At 37.8% G+C, this 24,548-nt stretch overlaps 1 annotated feature.

Annotated features, from left to right (window-relative positions):
• Positions 4,622-4,701: an enhancer, noted in NCBI's record as "active region_28123". NCBI's record gives its function as "activates an Ori minimal core promoter by ATAC-STARR-seq in GM12878 lymphoblastoid cells {active_cell/tissue: GM12878}" and the evidence as "EXISTENCE:reporter gene assay evidence [ECO:0000049][PMID:35858748]".

A 24,548-nucleotide genomic window follows, 5' to 3' on the forward strand; every position in this document is an offset into this window, starting at 1 on the left:
GTCCCTCTTTAAATTTAAGTCTCAAGTTGTATTTTTTAAAACCACATCATTGAGGTATAATTGACATACAAAAAGCTGTACATAATTAATGTATACAGTATTTGTTGAATTTGAAGATAAGTATACACTGATTATCTCTTCATTAGTCTTGCTAGAGGTTTATCTAGTTTATTGATTTTTAGAACAGCTTTTTGATTCATTCTGTGTTGTCTGTTTTGTTTCGAAGTACTGTTTCAGCTGCGTCTGACAAATTTTGATATGTTGTGTGTGCCTTTTCATGTAGTTCAACTGTTATTCCCTTTGGTTTCTTCTTTGAGCAAGGGTTATTTAGGTACATGTCATTTAATTTTAAATATATTAGGATTTTCATGTTCTTTTCTATTAATGACTTCACATTTAAGTATGTTTTGATCAGATAATATACTGGTATAAAGTTCTTTTAGTTTACTGATACTTGTGTTATGGCCCAGAATATGGTCTATTTTTGTAAATGTCCTGTGTGTTCTTGAAATAATGTCTTGACAATTACGTATATTGCAAACAGTGTTCAATAAACGATGATTATGTTCAAGTCTGCTATGTTTATACTGATTTTATGCCTACTTGTTCTATCAATTATTGAGTCAAAGTGTTTAATTCTCCAGCTATACAGTTTTAGATTTCTTTCTTCTTTCAGTTTTATCAGTTATGCCTTACTATATTTTAAAATTCTGTTTTTAAGTGAATATACTTTTCAGATTGTTATGTCTTCTTGACACATGACATCTTCATTATTATAAAGTGATCTCTAACACTGGCAATTCTATTTTATTTAAAATTCAGTTTATCTGATAATAACATAACCACTTCATCTTTCCTTTGTGTTTATATGGTGGTATTCTTTTCATTTTTTTAGTGTTAACATTTGCCTCTCTTTATATTTAAATGGGCTTAATGTAGATAGAATATAATGAGGTCTTTTTTAAAAAAAAAAAAATCTGGAGCCTGAACCAGTGTCTCGTGCCTGTAATCCCAGCACTTTGGGAGTCTGAGAAGAATCACTTGAGGCTGTGAGTTTGAGGCCAGCTTGAGCAACATAGTGAGACCAGGTCTCTATTTAAAAAAAAAACAAAAAAACCGGCTGGGTGCAGTGGCTCACGCCTGAAATCTCAGCACTTTGGGAGGCCGAGGCAGGTGGATCACCTGAGGTTGGGAATTCAAGATCAGCCTGACTAACATGGAGAAACCCAGTCTCTACTAAAAATACAAAAATTAGCTGGGCGTGGTGGTGCATGTCTGTAATCCCGGCTACTCGGGAGGCTGGGGCAGGAGAATTGCTTGAACCCGGGAGGCGGAGGTTGCGGTGAGCCAAGATCACACCATTGCCCTCCAGCCTGGGCAACAAGAGCGAAACTCTGTCTTAAAGTCACCTTTGCTCCAGTTCCCAGCAAGTTCCTCATTTCCATCTAAGACCCCCTCAGCCTGGACTTCATTGTCTATATCACTATCAGCATTTTGGGCAAAGCCATTCAACAAGTCTCTAGGAAGCTCCAAGCATTCCCACATTCTCCTTTCTTCTTCTGAGCCCTCCAAACTGTTCCAATCCCTGCCTGTTACCCAGTTCCAAAGTTGCTTACACATTTTGGGGTATCTCTGGAGCAGCGCCCCACTCTGCTGGTATCAATTTACTATGTTAATCAGTTTTCATGCAGCTGATAAAGACATACCTGAGACTGGGCAATTTACAAAAGAGAGAGGTTTAATGGACTTAGAGTTCCACGTGGCTGGGGAGGCCTCACAATCATGGCGGAAGGTGAAAGGCACATCTCACATGGTGGCAGACAGGAGAAGAGAGCTTGTGCAGGGAAACTCCTTGTTGAAAAACCATCAACTCTCATGAGACTTGTTCACTATCATGAGAACAGCCTGGAAAACCAGCCCGCATGATTCAATAACCTCCCACCAGGTCTTTCCCACAACACGTGGGAATTCAAGATGAGATTTGGGTGGGGACACAGCCAAAAGGTATCATATAATTTTAGGTTAACAGTTGTTTAAAAAGAAGTAATGGTATTCTCATATGACTTGAGTTGTTTTTAATGTGAAATCTCCTTTCAGTCTTGTCTTTGTTTCTTTGGCTGCATTTCTTTATCATTTGTTTTTAAAAAAATTTGGTTATGATATGACTTGCTGAGGATTTCTTTGGGGTTTGTTGCTTGGGGTTTGTTGACTATTTTGGATCTGTGTATGGTTTTCTTCAAGTTTGGAAAAAAATTGTCATTTTTTCAAATAGTTTTGCTTTCCCATCCCAACCTCCTTCAGGGGCTCTAATTGCACATATATTGAAATGTGTGATATTGTCCATAGGGCTATCACTCAGCCTATCTAATCTCTATTTCACTGTGGATAGTTTCTATTGCTATGTCTTCTGGTTCCCCAACCTTTTCTTCTACAATGTCTTCTGATTTTAATTTTTCACTTCACATATTGCATTATCTATAAAAATTAGTTGGGTGACTTTTTACTACTTTTCATTTCTGTTTTAACACTCTTGTCTGCTACTTTCTGTCATGTCATTTCTCATTCTATTTTTTTTTTTTTTAACTGGTTAGAGGTCACATTAGTAAAAATTTTTTTTTTTTTTTGTGACAGTCTTGCTATGTCACCCAGGCTGGAGTGCAGTTGCGCCATCTCGGATCACCACAACCTCCACCTCCTGTGTTCAAGTGATCTGCCTCAGCCTCCCAAGTAGCTGAGATGACAGGTACGTACCATCACACCCAGCTAATTTCTTGTATTTTTAGTAGAGATAGGGTTTCACCATGGTTCCCAGGATGGACTTGAACTCCTGACCTCAGGTGATCCACCTGCCTTGGCCTCCCAAAGTGTTGGGATTATAGGCATGAGCCACTGCGACTGGCCAGCAACTTTTGATTTGGATGAAAAAAAATCTGAATTTCACATTCTTGGATGCTAGGGGTGTTTTTTCTTTCATTTCTTTAAATATTGTTGGGGTTTGTTTTATAATCCACTTAAAATGTAATCAGTTTGATATTTTTGAAATTTGCTTTTAGTTTTATCAAAGCAGGTCCAGGAAATACGTTAGTTTAGTATACATTTGGCTCCACTATCGAGGATTCACCTGATACATTTTTACTACTCAGGTCTCACTCCTGTGTTCCTTAGCTGCTCTGTGTTAGAAGGTGTTTCCATTCAGAGTGTTAGGAATCAGAACTAGCTCACTGGTTCTTTGAGTGCCAGAGATTTCTGCCTCCTCTTTTCCAGCAGAATTTCTGTGGTATTGTGGCTGGGAAAAAGGCATAATGTAATCTTGGATAAACAGCAGACAAACTGAAATTGAGGAGGACTCTATAAAAATAATTGGCCTATATTCTTTGAAATGTCAAGGTTATGAAATCCAGAGGAAAAACTGAGGAATTTTTTAGATTAAAAAACTGAAGATACAGGACAACTAAATGCAATGAATAATCCTGGATTGGATTTTGGACTGGGGTTTAAAAAAAGCATTTAAAGGACATTGTCGGAACAATTGTAGAAGTTTGAATATAAACTGTGGATTAGGCAATAGTAATGTAACAATGATAAATTTCCTGATTTTAATGGTTGAACTGTGGTTGTTCTTGTCTTTAGGACATACATGCTGGAGTATTTAGGTAAAGGGGCATGAGGTATGAAACTTAACTTCAGAGGGTTTAGGAAATCACACACTCCACAAGCAAGCAACGATAAAGCAAAATGTAAATAAGTGTTGAATCTGGGAAAAGGGTATATATAATGTATAATTCTTGTAACTTTTCTGAAAGTCTTAAAATTATGTGAAGAAAATATTACCAAAAATGGGTTGGCTCAAACACACAGGATTGAGTTTCTTTTTATTGCTAGGTACACCTTGCTCAGCTTCCTGGAAGAGTTGATAGTTTCAATCTAAACATAGAGAAAGTAGAATGATTTATAATTATCTCCTGATACCTCTTTCTTTCCAAATCAAATTGACCCACAGTTCAGCAGCCCTCTGTTGCCAGGACTGACGTGATGGTAGCTTATCTTTGTCAGTGAAAAGAAAGTTTGCTGCATGCCTTCATGCCACTCCCCATTATCTAGGGAATGGAACTGACACTGAAAGAGAAGAAGCATAAGAAATAGCAACCCTTTCTTCCTAGAGTCATTCATCATGAGCTTGAGTAGCAAAATGTTCCCAAATTGCAAGTACAGCCTCATGAAACTGGAGCTGACTTCTTGCTAAATTCCATTATTAGTCACAGTTCTGTGGTCACAGTGCTTTTTGGTTGGTTTTTCTGTTTGTTTTTGTTTGTTTAATAAGACATTTTTCATGACTTTAACAAGTTACTATGGGTGGAGGCAGTAAAGTTTGGGGCCGGGGAGAAGAGGGAAGCAATTCTCTATCATCTCCATCACAGGTGATCACAGACAGCACAAGAGGGGCAGAAAATCTCTCAGAAAGTGGTGAGAGTTGTCCAATTTGGTCAAGCAGGAACAATGTGGGCAGTGTTACACGCGAATGAAGACTTTTCAGCGAGAGTGGAAAGGGGTGAAATGTGTAACAACCCACACAGAGCTGCTTTCAGCTTCACTCACCTAGTCAGGTTGTGGATGGCCCCATAACCCCTTTTGTATTTGCTTGTTAACAGGGAAGAATGCGTCTGATCTCAGTGTCTTGTCCAGGTGATTAATGGGGATGCTGTTGCAGAGATGCATGCTGCTTTCTTCCATGTAGCCTTGGTATCAAGTAGCACCAGCTCAGTAACCAGGTTGTATTATCTTAAAATCAGTAAATGAAATCGGGGAGAATCCGAGTGAGTGTCCTGGACTAATGGTGATGTTTAACAGGGCAGGAAGCTGAGCTGTAAGAGTGATGCTGGAGGGTCATATGTTTGGATTCTTCAATCAGTTTAAATATGGCCTGGGTCAGAATCATGGACTGTTACTATGCAGAGATTATTCCATTATCCTCCCTAACATATCAACTTTTATCCCAGGAATACACTTAACAGTTCCAGAGAAGTTGAAGGATAGAGTAAATATTCGCAGGGCTGGCCCTAAATGAAATGACTATTTCATGTTCTGCCCTCATGCTCCAATTTTCTTTCTGGGGACTCTTTTCTCTCATTTCTTCCCACTAGAGTCAATCTTATATGAGCCTTGAGATTTAGGATTGCACTCTGGAAGGGTGAGGGTTTAAAAGGAAGCGGTCAAGTGCTGACCTACATGACTTAAATAGTCTCTTGTCTATCTACAAACCTTCTAAATGTGTTATTACTTCTGTTTTAGAGATGAGGAATCTGAGGCAGTTTCCAAAAAGATAAGCAATTTTCCCTAAAGCAAACAGGTAATATATGAAGGAAGTAGGGTTCAAGCCCAATTCTGCAAGACTCAAAAGTTGTCTTCTGCACCAGGCTGTGGAGATGCAAATCTCTCATTCCACGTCTATTCTACTCACAAAAACTGCCACCTAAATCCTACCTCTCCTTCACTCAAAAATATATATCTTGAATACTTTATATGCTAGGCACTGGTCCAGGTTTTGGGAATACAGTGCCAGTGAGACTAATATGATTGCTGCTTTCATGAAACTCACTAGGCAGTGGGAGACATGAAAATATATAAGCACAAAACTGTAATTACAGAGATAGATAAGTTTTATAAAAGGAAAAATATATGATATGATAGAAGATACGTGTGTAGGGAGGGGATCTTTTTTATTTGGTTAGGGACAGGCTTTCTGAACTAGTCACATTGAGGCCTGAGTCCTTACAGATGAGAAGCAGAAAGCCACGCAAAGCACTGAGCATTCTGGACAAAAGGATCAGCAAAAGTAAAAACCCTGAAGCAAGGAAGAAATGGTCTGTCCATGGAGCTGTAAGTAGACCATCTTGGGAAAGCATGCAGGGAAAGATATGAGATGTAATTGGAGATTGAAGCTAGAGCAAGATCATTAGATCGTGTAGGTCCTCACAGGATTTGATTGCATGCTAAGTGCACGAAACAGGTGCCAGTGATCATGTTACTCTCCTGCTTAAAAAGCTCCAGTGGGTTCCACGTTCAACTCTTTGTTGCTTGTGTACCTTCTATGTTGCCTTGTGTTGGTTTTGACTTCTCATTACAGGCCCTTTTGCTGATTTTAGGATAAATGACAGTACTGTTAGTTAAGCAGGGAGATCCTAGATAACTGTCCCTGCTAGTTCACAAACAGTATCTTTTACCACTAACAATTGTCTCCTCCAACCTCCGCAGGAACTTTTGATTTGGTTTTAGTTCTCATAGAGTCTGTCATGGAGACACAGAGGGAGGAGGATGAGCTAGGGAACATTTCAGCAGGTTTCTGCCTCCATTCCCACCCTTTTCTTTGTGCTTCAGCAAATCTAATCAATTAGGTTAAAGTTTTTTTCTAAGGACCATGCAGTTTCAGACCTCTATTCATTCTTCACATCTTTTACAAATCCTTTGTGTGTGTTCTTGATTCTTCCTAGAGTACCATTTTCTATAGTTTGCCTGTTTGGCAACCTTTAAACCAACTTTTCTTTGAAGACTCTCTGAGAATTACTCTAACTAGTTATGTTTCCTTTATGCACTTCTATTAGTTCCCTTAACACATTTTAATTGCTTATACACAGGGTTCACATCCTTTATTAATGTATGAACTCACTGGGGTTATTGACCTTGTTCATTTGTCTTTGCGTCGCTGGCACTCAGCTTAGTGCCTAGCTCAAAGTAGATTTTCAAGAAATGCTAAGTGAATGCCTAGTGGAAGTTCATGCTCTGTAATTAACTCAGAATTGATATGCATGCTCTTAGGCAAGTCATTTACCCTCTCAGAGACCTTAGTAAGTTATATAATTTATACTACTATGTTTTCCTGGTTTACTTTATAATACTAAGTTACTGAAAACTTGATCGATTGATAACTTACTCTGTACAGGCCCTATGCTAGGGGCTTTTAGATGGATTATCTCAATTTACCCTTAACGTCAACCCCATGAAGTAGCTTTAGATATTATCCTCAGTTGACAGACAAGGAAACTGAGACCCAGGGATGAAAAATGACTTGTGCAAAGTCACACAAGCTGCTAGAGTATGAGAGATTCAAACTAACTATGTTGCACTCCAAGGCCCAGGCTGTCAAGTGTTCTTCTGCTGAATTGTTTTCAACTCTCTAAATCAGTGGATAAAGCTACTCTTTTCTTTTTTTTCTTTTCTTTTCTTTCTTTCCTTTTCTTTTCTTTCTTTCTTTCTTTTTTTTTTTTTGACAGAGTCTTGCTCTGTCATCCAGACTGGAGTGCAGCGGTGCGATCTCAGCTCACTGCAAGCTCCGCCTCCCGGGTTCACGCCATTCTCCTGCCTGAGCCTCCCCAGTAGCTGGTACTACAGGTGCCAATCATGCAAATCAGCCATCATGCCTGGCTAATTTTTTGTATTTTTGGTAGAGACGGGGTTTCACCCTGTTAGCCAGGATGGTCTCGATCTACTGACCTCATGATCCGCCTGCCTCGGCCTCCCAAAGTGCTGGGATTATAGGCGTAAGCCACCATGCCCGGCCTAAAGTTGATCTTTATGAGGTTAACCTTTTCTCCTTTTCTTTCTGATTTAGATAATTCTCAAGCCAATATAGATGGCGATTTTTAAAAGATTAATCTATTTTTAAATTGACATATAAAATTGTATGTATGTAGTTTGTACAACAGGATGCTTTGAAGTATATATACATAGTGAAATGGTTAAATCTAGTTAATAAATTCATGTTATATGGTAATTTTTGTGGTGAGAATACCTAACGCATTTTTCAAGAATATATCATCAACTATAGTCATCATGCTGTACAAGAGATCATTTGAACATAATCCCTCTAACTGTAGACATGTATCTTTGAACCAACAGTACCCCAAGCCCCTCTACCCCCTAACCACCCCAGCCTCTGATAACTACCACTCAACTCTCTGCTTCTATGAAATCAACTTTTTAAGATTCCACTTATGGGTGACATCATGCAGTATTTGTCTTTCTATAACTGGCTCATTTCACTTAATGTTCTCCAGATTCATCCATGTTGTCACAAGTGGCAGGAGCATTCTTTTCATGGATGAATAGTATTCCATCATGTATACATACCACATTTTTTCGCCTGTGAATCTATTGATAGACACTTAGGTTGCTTCTATATCTTGGCTACTGTGAATAGTACTGCAGTCACTATAGGCATGCAGGTCTCTTCCACATACTGACTCCATTTCCTTTGGATATATATCTGGTAGTGGGTTTGGTGAGTCCTGTGGTAGTAATAATTTTAACTTTTGAGGAGCCTCCATGCTGTTTTCCATAATAGCTCTACAGTATGATTTACATTCCCATCAACAGTGTACAAGGGTTCCCTTTCCTTCACATCCACACCAAGATTTATCTTTTGTCTGCTTGATAATTGCTCTTCTATGAGGTGATATCTTGTGGTTTTGGTTTGCATTTTTCTGATTAATAATGAGCATTTAAAAAATTATACCTGTTAGCCATTTGTATATCTTTTAAGAAATGTCTATTCAGGTCATTTGGCTATTTTTAGTTGGGTTATTTGCTTCCTTGCTATTGAGTTGGGTTCTTTATGTACTTTTATATTAACCCCTCATCAGATATATGATGTACAAATGTTTTGTCTTCACTCTGTTTTTTCCTTTGCTGCACAGAAGTGTTTTAATTTGATATAGTCCCATTTGTCTATTTTTGCTTTTGCTGCCTATGCTTCTGGGGGCATATCCAGAAAATCATTGCCCAGACCAACGTCATGAAGCTTTTGCCGCATGTTTTCTTCTAATAGATTCATAATTTGGAGTTTTACATTTAAGATTTCATTCAATTCTGAGTTGATTTTTGCATATGATAAAATAAAAGAATTTAATTTCATTATTTTACATGTTGTAATACGGTATTTTTTTGTGTCTGTTTGCTAAATGTGATGGTTGGGGAAGTGGGGTCTCTCCCAGGCTGAGGTAAAACTCAGCTTTGAGTCTTTAACAGGATGTTCTGAAAATTAGGTCTGAAGTGAACTTTTAGGAAGGGTACATTCTACCACCAGGAGTGCTCCATCTGGTAAGATAATCAGGAAGGACTGGCACAGCACAGGAAAGGGAAGCTGGTGGTGAGGAGAACAGTGGGGAGCTAGTATAGGAGGTAGCTGGATTGAAGAGAAGGGGTAGAGGCCTCACAGTGAAATGTAACCAATTTTAAATCCAAAGCCTTTGAAGCAAAAATAATTCAACCTTGAAACATGACTATATTTAATTAGTGGAGGTTTAACATCATGACTCCACAATTTAACCCTGGGGAACAAACAAAGCTCAAATTACGAATCTCACAGAAATGACAATGGCAGCCTGAAAGACAAGTCACTCAGGTAAGTAGGATCTTATAACCAGAATACTGCCAAGCACCTGGCCTGCATCACAGCTGTGGGTCTGTCTTGGTCTTTGCCTACATCAGCTACTTTAGGGGGAGGATGGACATCATGGAGTGGGGAGGAAGAGATCAGGTGTCACACAGATGCATTTTAGTAACACACAGGTGGCGCAGAGTTCTGTAGTTCAGAGTAGGGCTGAATGGCAGCTGAGCTGCATACAGTGTAAAGACAGACCATGGAGAACTCAGAAAACATGTGTGAACAAATGTACAAGTTAGTGTTTTCTAACTCCTGGCTTATCACAAAATGACCAGCGCTGCCCTAAAGGTCAGGCCCCAAACCAGAGGTCTAGTTAGGAAGGTTGTCTGAATCCTGGATCATCTTCCTGTTTATACCCTCCATTTTTCTCCCCAGACAACCCAAGGCCATTCCAAGTGCTTTTCCCTATTTGACTCTTGAAGGGCTGCTGCTGCTGATAATCAGAAGAGTCATCAGTTCTGTTTACCAAATACTCTTATTGCTATAATTTGGATGTTTGTCCCATCAAACCTCGTGTTGAAATTTGATCCCCAATGTTGGAGGCAGGGGGACTAATGGGAAGTGTTTGGGTCATGGGAGTGAACTGTTCACGAATGGATTGGTGTCATCCTATGGTAATGAGTATGTTCTCACTCTTATTCCCGAGAAAGCTGGTTGTTAAAAAAGAGCCTGGCACCTTCCTCTACTTTCTCTCTTGCTTCCTTTCTCACCATGTGATATCTACACACGTCAGCTCCATTTCACCTTCTGCCATGAGTGGACGTGGTCTGAGGCCCTCAGCATAAGCAGATGCCGGTCCCATGCTTCTTGTATGGCCTACAGAACCGAGAACCAAATAAACTTTATAAATTACCCAGCCTCGGGGTTCTTTTATAGCAACACAAATGGGCTAAGACACTCTAACGTAACACTCTATCCTGGAAATCCTGAGGAATAAGTATTGTTACTCTCCTCATTTTATACCTTAAGAAATGGAAGCTGAGTAAAACAAAATTATTTGCCAAAGGCCACAGGCTAAAAATTGTCATAAAACCATTGTTAGGAAAGAATCAAATCACTTAAGTGCAATATTTGTCTTTGCTGTCCGCCCTCCCTCCTTTCTTCCTTTCCTTCAACTGTCTCTCGGTTCTTCTCTGCCTCCTTCCCTCCCATACCTTTTCCCTTCCCCCTCTCTCTCCCCTTCCTCTCCCTCTCTGCATGTCTTTCTCTTACAATGTCTTTCTTGTACTCTCTCTCTCTCTCTCTCTCAGATGCTCTGTCTCTCTCCTTTCTCTTGCCCTCACTGTCTCCCCTTCTTTCTCTACCAACATTGACATTTAGAGTCTTTACCCAAGTAAAGTCTGTCATATTCCTATGAATTAAGCCAGCTCCACTCTATTAGAGAATATTAGCTATATATCTGAGCTTCAACAAATTTTGCATGAAATGTGATATGTGGGAGCTCCAAGTTTGTAACTGCTGTCAATTTCTTCTGAGAGAACATCTTTGTTAGGGTGACCAAGAAATTTATTGTCCAAATTGGAATATACTCAGATTAAAATGAACAATAAAAATAATGAAAATTATATGATAAAATAATTTTGAAATATTTACTTATTAAGTAGGTATACAGTTATATTAAAACAACTTTAATATACATAATTCCTTCTAAAAATAAGAATAAAAAATTTTAAAAATATGGATTATAGAAACACTAATAGTAACATATGCAAAATAATTATTCAGGTTCTTAAGGCCAAGTGTGTTTCTTATATCAAGTCACTGATACTTTTCCTAAAGAATATATGTTTTAATATCACCATATTATTATCTTTTTAAAAAACACTTTTAGGTACATGTAATTCACATGTACCCCTGAACCTAAAAGTATTTTCAAAAGGTTGTAAACCTGTGTCACGGGGGTTTATTGTACAGATTATTTTGCCACCCAGGTATTAAGTCTAGCACCCAGTAGTTATTTTTTCTGACTCTCTACCTCCTCTTTACCCTCCTCCCTCCAGTAGGTCCTGGTGTCTGTTGTTCCTCTGTGTCCATGTGTTCTCATCATTAAGCTCCCACTTATAAGTGAGAACATACTAAATAACTTACAGTTGTCTTCAAAATAACATTTTATAGTCAATTGAAATTTTTGGTACATTCATTGATTCTCTTATGTAGACCACAATGTTGTTACTAGAAAAAGATTTTTCTCTACAGGAAAGCTCAGAGCAATTTTACTAAATAAAAATATTTTCAGTTTTAATATTTTATGCTGAAATGCATACATATTTCAGTCTGAATATTTTCATAAGTACTATGATAGTGCTTTCATTTAGTGTATCTTTCTTTAACAAGTAGCTTTATTGAAAATCGAATAAATGAACTACAGTTGTTTAAATTTCACCAAAAATACATGTTGTAAAATTCAGGCTTTCTTCGTTTCATTCCATTCTGATGTAGAATACAGCTTATGCAGTTAAAATGAGAGCTCCATCAAAGATTTGCCACAAGTCAAGATATCTTAAAATTCAATTATAAAATTTCAAAATTAAATACCATATACCACTAGCATTCTCATTGTTTAGTTGGCTCAGTTACCTCTAGTTAACACAGAGATAAATTTCAATGTCTTCCAGTTTTTTAGCTTTGTTTTTAATAAATGCAATTTAATAAAAGCAAACATAAAGAGCAAAAATAAGTTTTTGTGCTCTATTCATTGAATTCTTTGACTAAAGCTTTCCTAATGATTTTGAACAAATTGCAGACAAATTGCATACAAAAAGTTTGCCATTGTAGTACACTTAGGTTGAATTATGTGATAGTTTTTGAAAATCTCAAACTCTTTCAAGATTTTTATTTTCGAAGGGAAAAGAGAAATTTAGTGAGACATAAGGTTGATATGTAAAAGTAGGCAGCCAAAAAAAAAATACCTCCATGCTATAACATTTTATTCAATATTAGCTTCATTGCAAAAAATTGTGTTCATTCGCTCTGCACATAAATAAAATATTTGTAGATTTTGATATTATGGGTTTTATATTTTAGACTCTTAATTTACAGACTTGCAGGAAGTTGCAAAAATAGTAGAGTCATGTGTACCATTCATCTAGCTTCCCCGAATGGCACCATCTTAGACAGCTGTAGTATGTCAATATTAGGAAATTGACATTGATATACTATTATTAACTGACTACAGACCTTGAGTTTTCCCCAATTTAAAAATTTCATATATGTATGTGTGTATAGTTATATATACTTTTATCCCATATTTAGATTCATGTGCAGCAGTCCCCCTTTATCCATTAGTGATATGTTCCAAGACCCCCAGTGGATGTCTAAAACTGTGGATAGTATGGAACTCTATGTAGGCTATGTTTTGTCCTATAATGTAATGGGTGGATAGTGTTTACAGCATGGATATCCTGGACAAAGGGATGATTCACATCCCAGATAAAGCATGACAACATGAGATTTTGTCATACTACTCAGAACAGCATGAAGTGTAAAGCTTATGAATTATTTCTGCCATTTTTCATGTAATATTTTCAGACAACAGTTGACCACAGGTAACTGAAATCACGGAAAGTGAAACCGCAGTTATAAAGGGACTACTATAACTACCGCCATAATCAACAACCGCACTTGTTCATCACTGTAAAAGAAAATGCTTGTGCTACTCGTTTGCATATGCGCCTTCCCCATCTTCCCACCCCTGAAATCCAGTCTCTATCCCCTGGCATCCATTAATTTGTTCATCTCTTAGTTTTATAATTTCAAGAATATTATATAAACAAAATCAACAGTGCGTATCCTTTGGAGATAAACTTCTTTTTTTCCACCAAGCACAATGCCCTTGAGGCACATCTAGGTTGTTGTATGCATCAGTAGTTCATTTCTTTTTATTGCTGAGTACTGTTACACTGCATGGATATGCCAGAGTTTGTACTATTATTTGCACATTAAATTATATGTGAGTTGTTCCAATATGTTGCTATTATAAATACAGTGGATACAAACATTTTTGTACAGGTTTCTGTGTGAACCTAAGTTTTTGTTGATTGCTGGGTCATATGGCAAGTACATGTTTACCTCTGTAAGAAACTGCCAAACTCGTCATTTACATTAAGTAAAATACCACCTTGGTTTCCAAGAAATAAAATGTAACGAAAACCCAATGGACACAGGCAATCGAATTTTTAGTTGCTTATTATTTACATACCATATTCTTATTAATGATAGTTACACATTTTTCATTTAATAAAGGAAGACTGTTCGGATGTCCCTAACTCTCCCAGACCCACCCACCAAAAAAAGAGAAACTGCCAAACTATTTCTAAGAGTGGCTGTTCTCTTTTATGTTCCCATCAATGGTATATGAGGCACTCACTTTCTCTACATCTTTACCTTTGATATTGTCACTTGAGAAAAAATTTAAAACTGTTGGAATGGATATGTAGTAGTATGTCATTATGGCTTCAATTTGCATTTCCCTAGTGGCTAATGACATTGAACATCTTTTCATATGATTATTTACCATCTATATCTCCCCTTTGATGAAGTACCTGTTCATATATTATGCAGATTTTTAATTAAATTTTCTGTATTTTTTTAATTTTATTTTATTATTTCAGTTTTAGAGTACATGTGCACAATGTACAGGTTTGTTACATATGTATACATGTGCCATGTTGGTGTGCTGCACCCATTAACTGGTCATTTAGCATTAGGTATATCTCCTAATGCTATCCCTCCCCCCTCCCCACAACAAGCCCCGGTGTGTGATGTTCCCCTTCCTGTGTCCATGTGTTCTCATTGTTCAATTCCCACCTATGAGTGAGAACATGCAGTGTTTGGTTTTTTGCCCTTGTGATAGTTTGCTAAGTATGGAATACTATGCAGCCATAAAAAAGATGAGTTCATGTCCTTTGTAGGGACATGGATGAAGCTGGAAATTTTCTGTATTTTTAAAAAGTTCTTGAGTTTAGAGAGTTCTCTATCCTAGGTATATGGCTTTTTTTGGAAATGTGATTTCAAAATATTTTGTATCTGTCTGTAACTTGCAGTTTTATTCCCTTAACATGACTTTCATAATGCAAAAGACTTTAGTGTGAAGTCCCTATTAACATTTTTTTCTTTTATAGATTGTCTTTTTGGTGTCATGTGTAAGTAGGCTTCACCTAACCCCAGGTCCTGGATGTTTGCCTAAATATCTTCTGAAAGTTTTATAAATTTACAAATTATTTTAAATTAATTTGGGGATACAGTAAGAAGGTTGATGTTCTTTTTTTCTTTTCCAATGGGTGTCTAATTGTTCCAGCATCATTTGTTGAATAGAGTACGCTTTCTCCATTGAATTGCTTTTGCATCTTTGTCAAAAATCTATTGGGCATATTTGTGTTGGTCTATTTGTGGATTCTTTCTTGTGTTCCATTAATCTACATGTCTATTCTTCTGCCAGTACCTTACTATATTGATTATTATAGTTATAAATTCAGTCTTAACACCAGGTAGAGTGATTCCTACCACCTTAAACTTCTTTTTCAGAATTGTTTTAGCTATTATAGCTCCTTTTGCCTTTATATATAAGTATTAAGCTAAGCCTGTTCTGTCTTTATAAAAAGCTTACTTGGAACTACAACTTCTATTCATTTCTAAATAACTTTATTGAGATATAATGCACATAGCATACAGTTCACTCATTAAAAGTGTACAATTCAATGGCTATACAATTCAATGGCTTTTACTATTGTCAGAACTGTACATTTATCACCATAAGCAATTTTAGAACATTTTTACTAACCCATAAAGAAGCTCTGTTCTTGTTCATCTTCACCCCGCTTCCCCCCCGCTGCCCCAATCTCCTCATCCCCTAACTTTAGGCAATCAATTATCTATCTACTGTCTCTATAGATTTGACTTTTCTGGAAATTTCACATGAAAGAAATCATATAATTTTTGGTCCTTTTTGACTTTTTCATTTAGCATAGGCTTTCAAAGTGCATAAATGTTACAGCATCTATTAATGCTTCATTTCTTTTTGTTAAATAATTCATTGTGTGGAAATGCTATCTGTTTCTTATCTGTTCATCAGTTGATGGACATTTGGGTTGTCAACATCTTTTGGCTACTATGAAAACTGCTGCTATGAACATTCATGATGAGTCGTGTGGACATATATTTTTATTTGTCTCAGGTAGATTCCTAGGAGTAAAATTGCTGGATTATATAATTCAATCTTATTTGAGGAACTGTCAGCCTACTTCCCACAACAGCTGTACCATTTTATGTTGCTACTGGCAGTGTATAAGTGTTCCAATTTCTCCTCATCCTTGCTAACACTTACTATCTCTCCTTTTCAGTATAGCCATCCTAGTGGGTTTGAAGCAGTAAATCCTTGTGGCTTTTCTTGAAGGCTAATTATGTTGAGCATCTTTTCCTGGTGCTCATTTGTATATGTAATCTGGTGGCCATTTGTGTATCTTCTTTGGAAAAATATCCATTTAGATCCTTTGGCTCGTCTTCCCATCTTAAAAATTGGATTGTGTGTCTTTTTAATTACTGAGTTGTAATTTTTTATATATATGTACTGTATATAGCAACCAGCTACGTGATTTACAAAACCTTTCTCCCATTCTGTGCACTCTATTTTCACTTTCTTGATACTGTCTCTTGAAGCCCAAAAGTTTTTAGTTTGATGTTCAGTATATGTTTTTGTTGTTGTTGTTGTTGTGTTTGCTTTTGGTGTCATATCTAAGAAAATATTTTATAATTTAAGGTCATTAAGAACAAAGTTGAAAGACGCACATTTGCTGACTTCAAAACTTACTATAAAGCATCCCTCATCACAAATTCATAGTACTAGAATAAAGATAGATTTATAGACCAATGGAATAGAATTGACAGTCCAGAAATAAATCCATACAGCAACAACCAATTGATTTTTGAGAAGGATGTCAAGAACATTCATTGGGGGTAAAAAAAATGGTCTTTCAACAAATGGTTCTGGGAAAACTGGAAATCTATACTCAAAGAATTTGGACGCTTACCTAACACCATATACAAAATCAACTCAGAATAGAACAAAAACCCTGACTGTAAGAACTAAAACTCTAAAACTTAGAAGAAAAATAAGAGTAAATCTTTATGACATTGGATTTGGCAATGGATTCTTAAATATGACACCAAAAGCATAAAGAAAAAGTAAATAATTTGGACTTCATAAAAATTAAACTTTTGTTCATCAAAGGACACTACCAAGAAAGTGAAATAAGTTACAAAATTGGAGAAACTATTTGCAAATTACATACTTGATAAGAGACTACTATTCAAAATATATAAAGGAATCTTATAATTCAACAATGAAAAGACAAGCCAATTAAAATATAGACAAAGGACCTGAATGAATGCTTCTCCAAAGAAGGTATACAAATGGCTAATAACCACATGAAAACATGCTAAACATTATTAGTCATTAAGGAGATGCAAATCAAAAGCACAAGGAGATATTACTTTACAAACACTAGGAGGTCTAGAATTTTTAAAAAAGGAAAATAAGTGTTAGAATATGGAGAAATTTTCAGCCCTCGTATATCACTGGTATTGATGTAAAATGGTTAAGTCACTGCTGAAAACAGTTTGTCTGTTCCTCCAAAAGTTAAACAGAATTAACCCAAGGGCTACCAATTCCTCTGCTAGGTATATATTACCAAAATTTAAGACAAGTATTCAAACAATAACGTGTATACAAATGTTCATACCAACACTATCCACAATAGCTAAAATATGGAAACAACTCAAATGTTTATTAACTGAAGAATAGAAAAGCAAAATACAGTGTATTTGCACAATGGACTACTATTCAGCCCTAAAAAAGAATGCTTGTTTTGATACACACTACAACTTGAATGAACATGGAAAACATTATGCTAGGCAGAGAAGCCAGACACAAAATGTCTGATTTTGTGTGATTCTGCTACAGACAGCAGAGAGGGAAACAATGGGTAGAAGAGGGTGGTTCCCCAGCAAAGGTGGTTCCCCACCCTCAAGCCTGGAAATTCGTGGCCCTAAATGGGAATAGGGATTCCTGTTTTCATGCCCAGAAGTTGCCTTTTGGCCACCACGTCCCCCTATCCTGTACCTGTATAAACCGCAGACCCTAGGATCTAGAAGCAGACAAGGTAAGAGATAAACAAAAGAGCAGAAGAACAGCAGAATGGCTTGGCAGAGGAAAGAGGAGGAGTGTCTGAACATGGAGAGGAGTTTGGCTGGGGACGGCCAGAGAGGAGACTGGCTGCTGAATGGCCACACTCCAGGGGAATATCATCTTCCCACTGCATTCCCTTTCCAGCTCCCCATCTACCCCACTGAGAGCCACTTCCATCACTTAAAAACTCCACATTCGTCCTTGAAGTCTGTGTGTGGCTTGATTTTTCCTGGATGCTGGACAAGAGTTTGGGATACAGAATGCTGTCATACTGGCCCTCTGCCCTTGCAGAAAGGCAGAGGGTCTACTGAGCTAACACTTAAGCCACCTGCAGACAGCAAGGGTAAAAGAGCACACGGTAACATGTGCCCACTTGGGCTTTGGGAATCACAGGCACCCACCCCTGGACACTGCCATGGGGCCAGAGCCCAGGAGCACTTGCTCAGGCTCCCACATCCGCCTGTCTGTGTGCTCCCGCTCCTTAGGGGTTTGAGCAAATAAGACAAGCCATAACCCTGTCACACGTCCTGTAAGATGGGTCAGGGAACTCTTCCCATTTCAATTCCATTTATATGAAATATTCAGATTAGGTAAATCCATAAAGACAGAAAGCAGGTTAGTGGTTGCCAGTGCCTGATGAAGGGAAAACATGGAGAAATATGAAAACGTTTTGGAACCAAATGGAGTAACAGTTGTACAATACTGTGAATGTATTAAATGGCATTGAAGTGTATTTTTTTAACAGTTAATGTTATACTATATGAATTCTACCTGTGGAAAAAGAAAAATTAAAGATCCTGAGCAAATACTAAGTCAAATGGGACACTAAAACAATAGGCATAAACAAAGTACACCAGTTCAGAGGGTAACCCTAACGTCTGCATGTTAGGGCTTAAGAGTATTGAAGTTTTAAAAAAACGCGTAAAGATACATTTGCTATATACTCTATTAATTTTTCATTACCCTCTCAGTTCTTGTCTAAATCCAGCCTATGTTGGCAATGTTCTTCTCCTGGTCTTTCTTCCACTCAGGAATTTGCTATGAATTACCAGTGATTTCCTTTTATAGGAGTTCCCAAGAACAAATCTGAATGTACCAGTGTTACTTTCAGTCAATTGAGACGCCAACTGTCACACAAATTTTCAAGAGACAACTGCCTCTTTTACCAAAGTTAATATGTGGTTCACACTTAGGTTCTTCATCTTTTTCCCAACATCTCACTGAAAATCAGGATTACAGACTCAAATGCTGTCACTGATGAGGAAGGAAAAATTAACGCAAAGAGTGTACAGATAAAGTATGATAGGAAGATTAGGGTTTCTAGCAAAATGAGATGCTCTACTTAAGGAAAGTCAACCTTTAAGACACTGTACCAGCTAAACAAGACTTTATCTACAAGCCAGAATTCAGCCCATCGTCTGAATTTACAATTTCTGTAAGTAAGTGCACTGTCATAGAAAACTGTTTTCTGTGCTCTTGCTCAGAAAGGTTTGATGGAGATAATACAGAGAAGAAAGATTGTTTTTTGTTAAAATAAAAAAAAATTTCTTTTGTAAGTGAAAATAGTTTAAATTCATTTGTTCCATTTTATGGTATCATAGAACCTTAGATCTGGATGGAAACTTCGAGTCTCATTTTCCACTTAAGTGCAGGACTCTTCTCTGTAATACCACTGACAGAGGGCCCCAGGTGTCATTTAACACTTCTTGAATGAGGACTTCACAATACGTAAAGGCAGTCATTTCATTACTGGCCTGCTGAAGTTGTTAGGAGGTGGTTTTTGAGATGAGCTGTGTTCTACTTTCTTGCCTGTATCTCCTTTCCATCTTGATTCTCCCTGTTGTCTGGAGACAAAATGAATCCATTCCTGCTTCTACAGGTTTTCCCTTCAAATATTTGAAGATTGTTCTCAAACCTCTCTTTGGTTCTATCTTTTCCAGGCTACACTGTCCCAGTATTCAGTGATACCACATTTTGACATGATTTGCAATTCCTTATCTGATAGAATGCAATCCTAAAATGGCCCTCTCTTTCATCATTACCCTTTTGATTTTTGGTATCTTTAGAAAAAGACATGCAGTCCAAAGAAAGTATGAAAACAAAGCATGGTAAGACTAGTGCTTCTAGTGTTCTGAACTTCAGCTCTTATTCTTTGTTCTTCACCCCTTTTAGATTGTATGCTGCATGAAGTCAAGGACTGTGTTTTTCTGATTCATCGTACTGTTCCCAACACCTTATACAGTATCTGTAATATAAAAATTCCCAATACATAATTGTTGAATCATTTAACAGTTAACTTATGTCACTGTCCCTTCATTGGCTAGATGCAGAGACTGGAAATAAAATTTTGTAATACCTGGTCCTGTTGGGATATCCAGTTTTCTCTTTTCCTCCCTCCCTCTCCTTTTAAAAATTTCTCCAAATCTTTGGAGAAATTTAGAGACGTGAATATTACAAACTAGTGAACTCATGACAGTGTGTGAGCTAAATGCCATCTGTTTCAGGGAAATATTGTCCTGTGCCCATCAGTGTTTTTCACCCAAAGTGAATTCCAACATGTGCAAAAACTGGAACTAGAACAGAAGTACTTTATCCCTTAAAGCCTAGATTGCTGCAGAGCTCTTTTTCTTGGTGAATGTGTGTGCACGTGTGTGGTGTGGTGTGTGTGCATTGCATGTAAGAGTTTATGGGATAGAGAGTAAGCCTCATGGCCTGGGAGCAGGGCTGATCAACTCTGTAGAGCAGTGGTTACCAGTTCGCTCATGGGTGAAATAACTGGAATTAAATTAGCAATTGCCATACAGCAAGTGATGGGTGGAATTGGGAATCAAACTCAGATCTTGTGAGGATAAATGCAGTGCTCTATCCATTACATGGGTGCTTCTTAGTTTTAAAATGTAAAAACGAATACCCTCCAAGTTAATTTGCCCTCTACTTTGATGAATGATTTTATTTTTTGGATCAATGGCCCTTGGTGGAATGAAATTTCACCAGCTCTGGACTACAGGGCCCAATTGTCATCCTTTATTTCTACTTCTTAGAGATATGGACAGCTGCTTAATTTGTAGCAACCTAGTGCATTTGCAGATCCTGGGACACTATTTCATGTACCAGAATCCAAAATTTTATGGAGTTTAGAAATTTGCATTTTTAACTATAAACTCAATTATTCTCTATAGGCTAGAAAGAGAACATGGTTTTTGTGTGATTGTTATTTTGTCCGGGGTATTAATGAGGGAAAATAAGCCCTAGGGAAAAGGTTTTTGATGCGGGAAGAGGTGCTGGAAGTGAGCAGTAGGTCTGTAAAAATATCAGGTGGCAGGATTTCTACAAACAAAGGGAACAAAGGAACACATGAAGAGTAATTCAGTGGTCTAAGGCCATCTAATTTGGGGAAAATGGCTATGCTTATCTAAATGACTGGCATCACAGGGACTTGCTCAGTAAAATGATTCACATGAATATGGATGATGAATAGACACAACATCTGAGCAGTTACATACATTCAGGTACCTTTATTTTAAAAATAGAATCATTAAGAGGAGTGATGAATTTATTAGCATGGAAAAATGTCCACAACACATTAAATAGGAGAGGCCCTGCTTAGATAGTGAAAGTATAAAGAGAAGGGCAGAAGTGGTCACTGTGACAGTTTTCTTAGTGGCTACCTTTTTGGGGAGAAGAAAGGGGCACAGGATTGTGAGGGTAGCAGGAGTGACTCTCTGGGATGTTGGTGCTATACCATTTCTTGGCCCCTGTGCTGGATACACAGACACTGGCTTCATGATAACCCCGGAAGATGTATGTTAATAAAATGTGTGCCCTTTCCTGACTTGTGTGCTATCTTTCTCAGAAAAATAGCTAAATTTTGAAGTTTTAACACCAGCACCTTACTATTTGAATTGTTTCAAATTCATTTAGGAAAAACGCCCAAATCTAGTTTCTTATTCCTGAAATGGAAACGTTAAATGTTTACATTTATCTGTGATTCATATGACTTGATTTTAAATAGGTGGCATGAGAACTCTCTTAAACAATTTGCTGGTTTACTCAAAGATGTTATACTCTAGAACTGAATCAGGATTTCTCAGCTTAAAACCAGTTCTTGAGTCTTTGGTCTTTATCTTTCTCTTATTTTCTCATTAAAAATTGTTTCCCCCTGTATTACTTTATGGTTGTTTTTCTTAATTCTAAAAAGCTGATACTTTACAGGTCCACTGTGTGGTTTACAAGCAGCTTTGCCTGAACTGTTTGATTTGTTTTGATTTGATTCAGAATATTTCTCTAAGGCAATAGAGAGGTTCCTCCTAACCTCACTCTATCCTAGGCTCCTCACATATGAAATAAGTGAAATTAACTTAGCTGTTGCCATACACCAAGTGATGGGTGCAATTGGGAATCAAACTCAGATCTTGAGTATAAATGCAGTGCTCGATCCATTACATGGGTGTTTCTTTTAAAAATGTAAATGCAAGTGGCATCCAAATTAATTTGCCTTCTACTTACCAGGCTCATGAATGATGTTATTTTTTAGATTACTGCCCTTGGTGGAAAGAAAAGAAAATTTTAACAGCTCTGGACTACAGGGCCCAATTGCCATCTTTTATTTCTACCTTGTAGAGAAATGAAGAGTTGCTTAAATGAAAAGCTTTACATTTTACATTCAATGAAATATACATACAGAAAAGTGTACATTGGTGTGTGTAACTCATTTGATTTTTTCCCAAGCAAATATAACCTTGCAACCAGCACCTACATCAAGAAAGGCAGTCTTTTAACATCTCAGATGTTTCCCTGTTACTAATGTTGAATCAGTATCCACATCCAAGGCCAGGCACTATCATGACTTTTGCCCCATAGATCAGTTTTGCCTGTTTTTATGCCTTCTGTAAATGGAATCACATAAGATGCATTCTTTTATGTCTGGCTTCCTTGGCTCCATGTTATATTTGTGAGATTTACACACATTGTTATCTGTACTTACAGAATATTCATTCTCTTTACTGCATAGTATTTCATTGTATGAGTATATCACAATTTTTCTATCAACTATTGATGGGCATTAGGTTAGTTTTTGGTTTGGGAATATGAAAATCATAATACTGTCATCATTCTAGTCTAGGTCTTTTGGTGAACAGGTATACATATTCCTGTTAGGTATATGGCTAGGAATGGGATTGCTGGGTCCTAGCTTATGAAGTGTTCAGATTTAATAGAGATTGCACAAAATCTTTCAAACAGGTTTATACTCCCACTGCTCCATGACAGCCAGCTTGGAAGAGAGCTGGGGAAATAAGTGCCCTACTCTATCTTCTGATTTCTTGCATGTGCTTTCCACTGTCTGAGCCCAACCTGAAGCTGGAATAATACATTACTTGAGGTCAGCCTCCACAATGCTGAGCAAGGTGAAGGGGGCTGATTCTGGAGATTCAAGGGGAAGGCATCCAGCTCTTCCTTTCATTCCATGCTCCTGGGAAAATTGCTGATTTTCTTCTCTGCATGAAAATTTTTTTGAGTTTTTCTCTTATTTTCACTACTTCGTAAAAGCACTTTAAAAAAGTAAATGGAGTTATTCGGGCGGGCGTGGTGACTCATGCCTGTAATCCTAGCACTTTTGAGTGGCTGAGGTGGGTGGATCACTTGAGGTCAGGAGTTCGAGACTAGCCTAGCCAACATGGTGAAACCGGTCTCTACGAAAAATACAAAAATTAGCCAGGTGTGGTGGTGTGTTCCTGTAATCCCAACTACTCAGGAGGCTGAGGTATGAGAATCACTTGAACCGGGGAGGCGGAGGTAGCAGTGAGCAGAGATTGCACGACTACACTCCAGCCTGGGCAAAAGAGCAAGACTGTTTCAAAAATAGTAGATGGAGTTATTAAATATGGATATGTGAACTTTTTTATGTTCCTGAAGTGTTGTCATATCTAGAAATGGCACATCTGGACATATCACACTTAGATCTGTAATGTGAACATGCTTCTCCATATGTCCATATTTTAAGTGCTATCATACTTGATGCATGCATTGTTTTGGACGGAAAAGTTTTGGGGAACGTGAAATAGTAAATGGTAAAGTAGAACCAAAATAGCACACGTCTAACCATCCTAATTTAGAAAAAGGAAAACAACACAGGGGGAAGGGAATATGAAGGCGCAAACATGTGTTGTATGTTTACTATGCGACAGGCACTGTGCCTGCATACGTTTTCCACAAAATAAGAATGGTGCTCAGAATTCTGATTCTTCACATACATGATACATTGTAGGTGCTACCACAACTACTTCATTCTATCAGCTGTAGTGTATCAAGAAACGGGTAGTATTAGGTATAGAAGTGAGTTCTGGGATGCATGAGCAAGTTGCAAGCATAGGTTGCTCAAGTTCTTAGTGTGCCTACACCTGTCCACCGCACCACCCCCCGCCCCTGTGGCCTGACCTCCCTCAGTCAGCCCCTTTGGGTTTTTGGGGCTTCCCATGACCAGGAGTCAAAAGATGAAAACACTTCGGCCTAGATAACAGATGAACCTTTCCACTATGCCAGCACAGGTGGATTGCTGCAATATTACAGCCTCTCATGGGAGGGGCCCTGCAGGATGGTGGGCAAGTAAACACTCCCAATAGGCAGAATTGAGGCAGTGTATCTTGTTGGATGAAGACATGGCTAAGGTCAAGATTTACTGTGATTTCTGAACAGCAGGTAATGGCCTGGCCCAGATAGTCAGGATAATGTTATGAGCAAGATGGGGGAATTGATGTGAACTGTGTCATGCCATCCCATAAAACGCTTGATTTATGGGAAACAGAACGTGTGTGGCCCAGAGCAACAATCACAGATTATTCTGCGGTACCTTACTGCCCACTAGGAACAAATGCCCGTGTTCACAGCCCTTGCTGGGAGGGCATGTTTAACTGAGCATTCTTATATCTG

Source organism: Homo sapiens, chromosome 9 (assembly GCF_000001405.40).
Source record: "Homo sapiens chromosome 9, GRCh38.p14 Primary Assembly".
Lineage (NCBI taxonomy): Eukaryota > Metazoa > Chordata > Mammalia > Primates > Hominidae > Homo > Homo sapiens.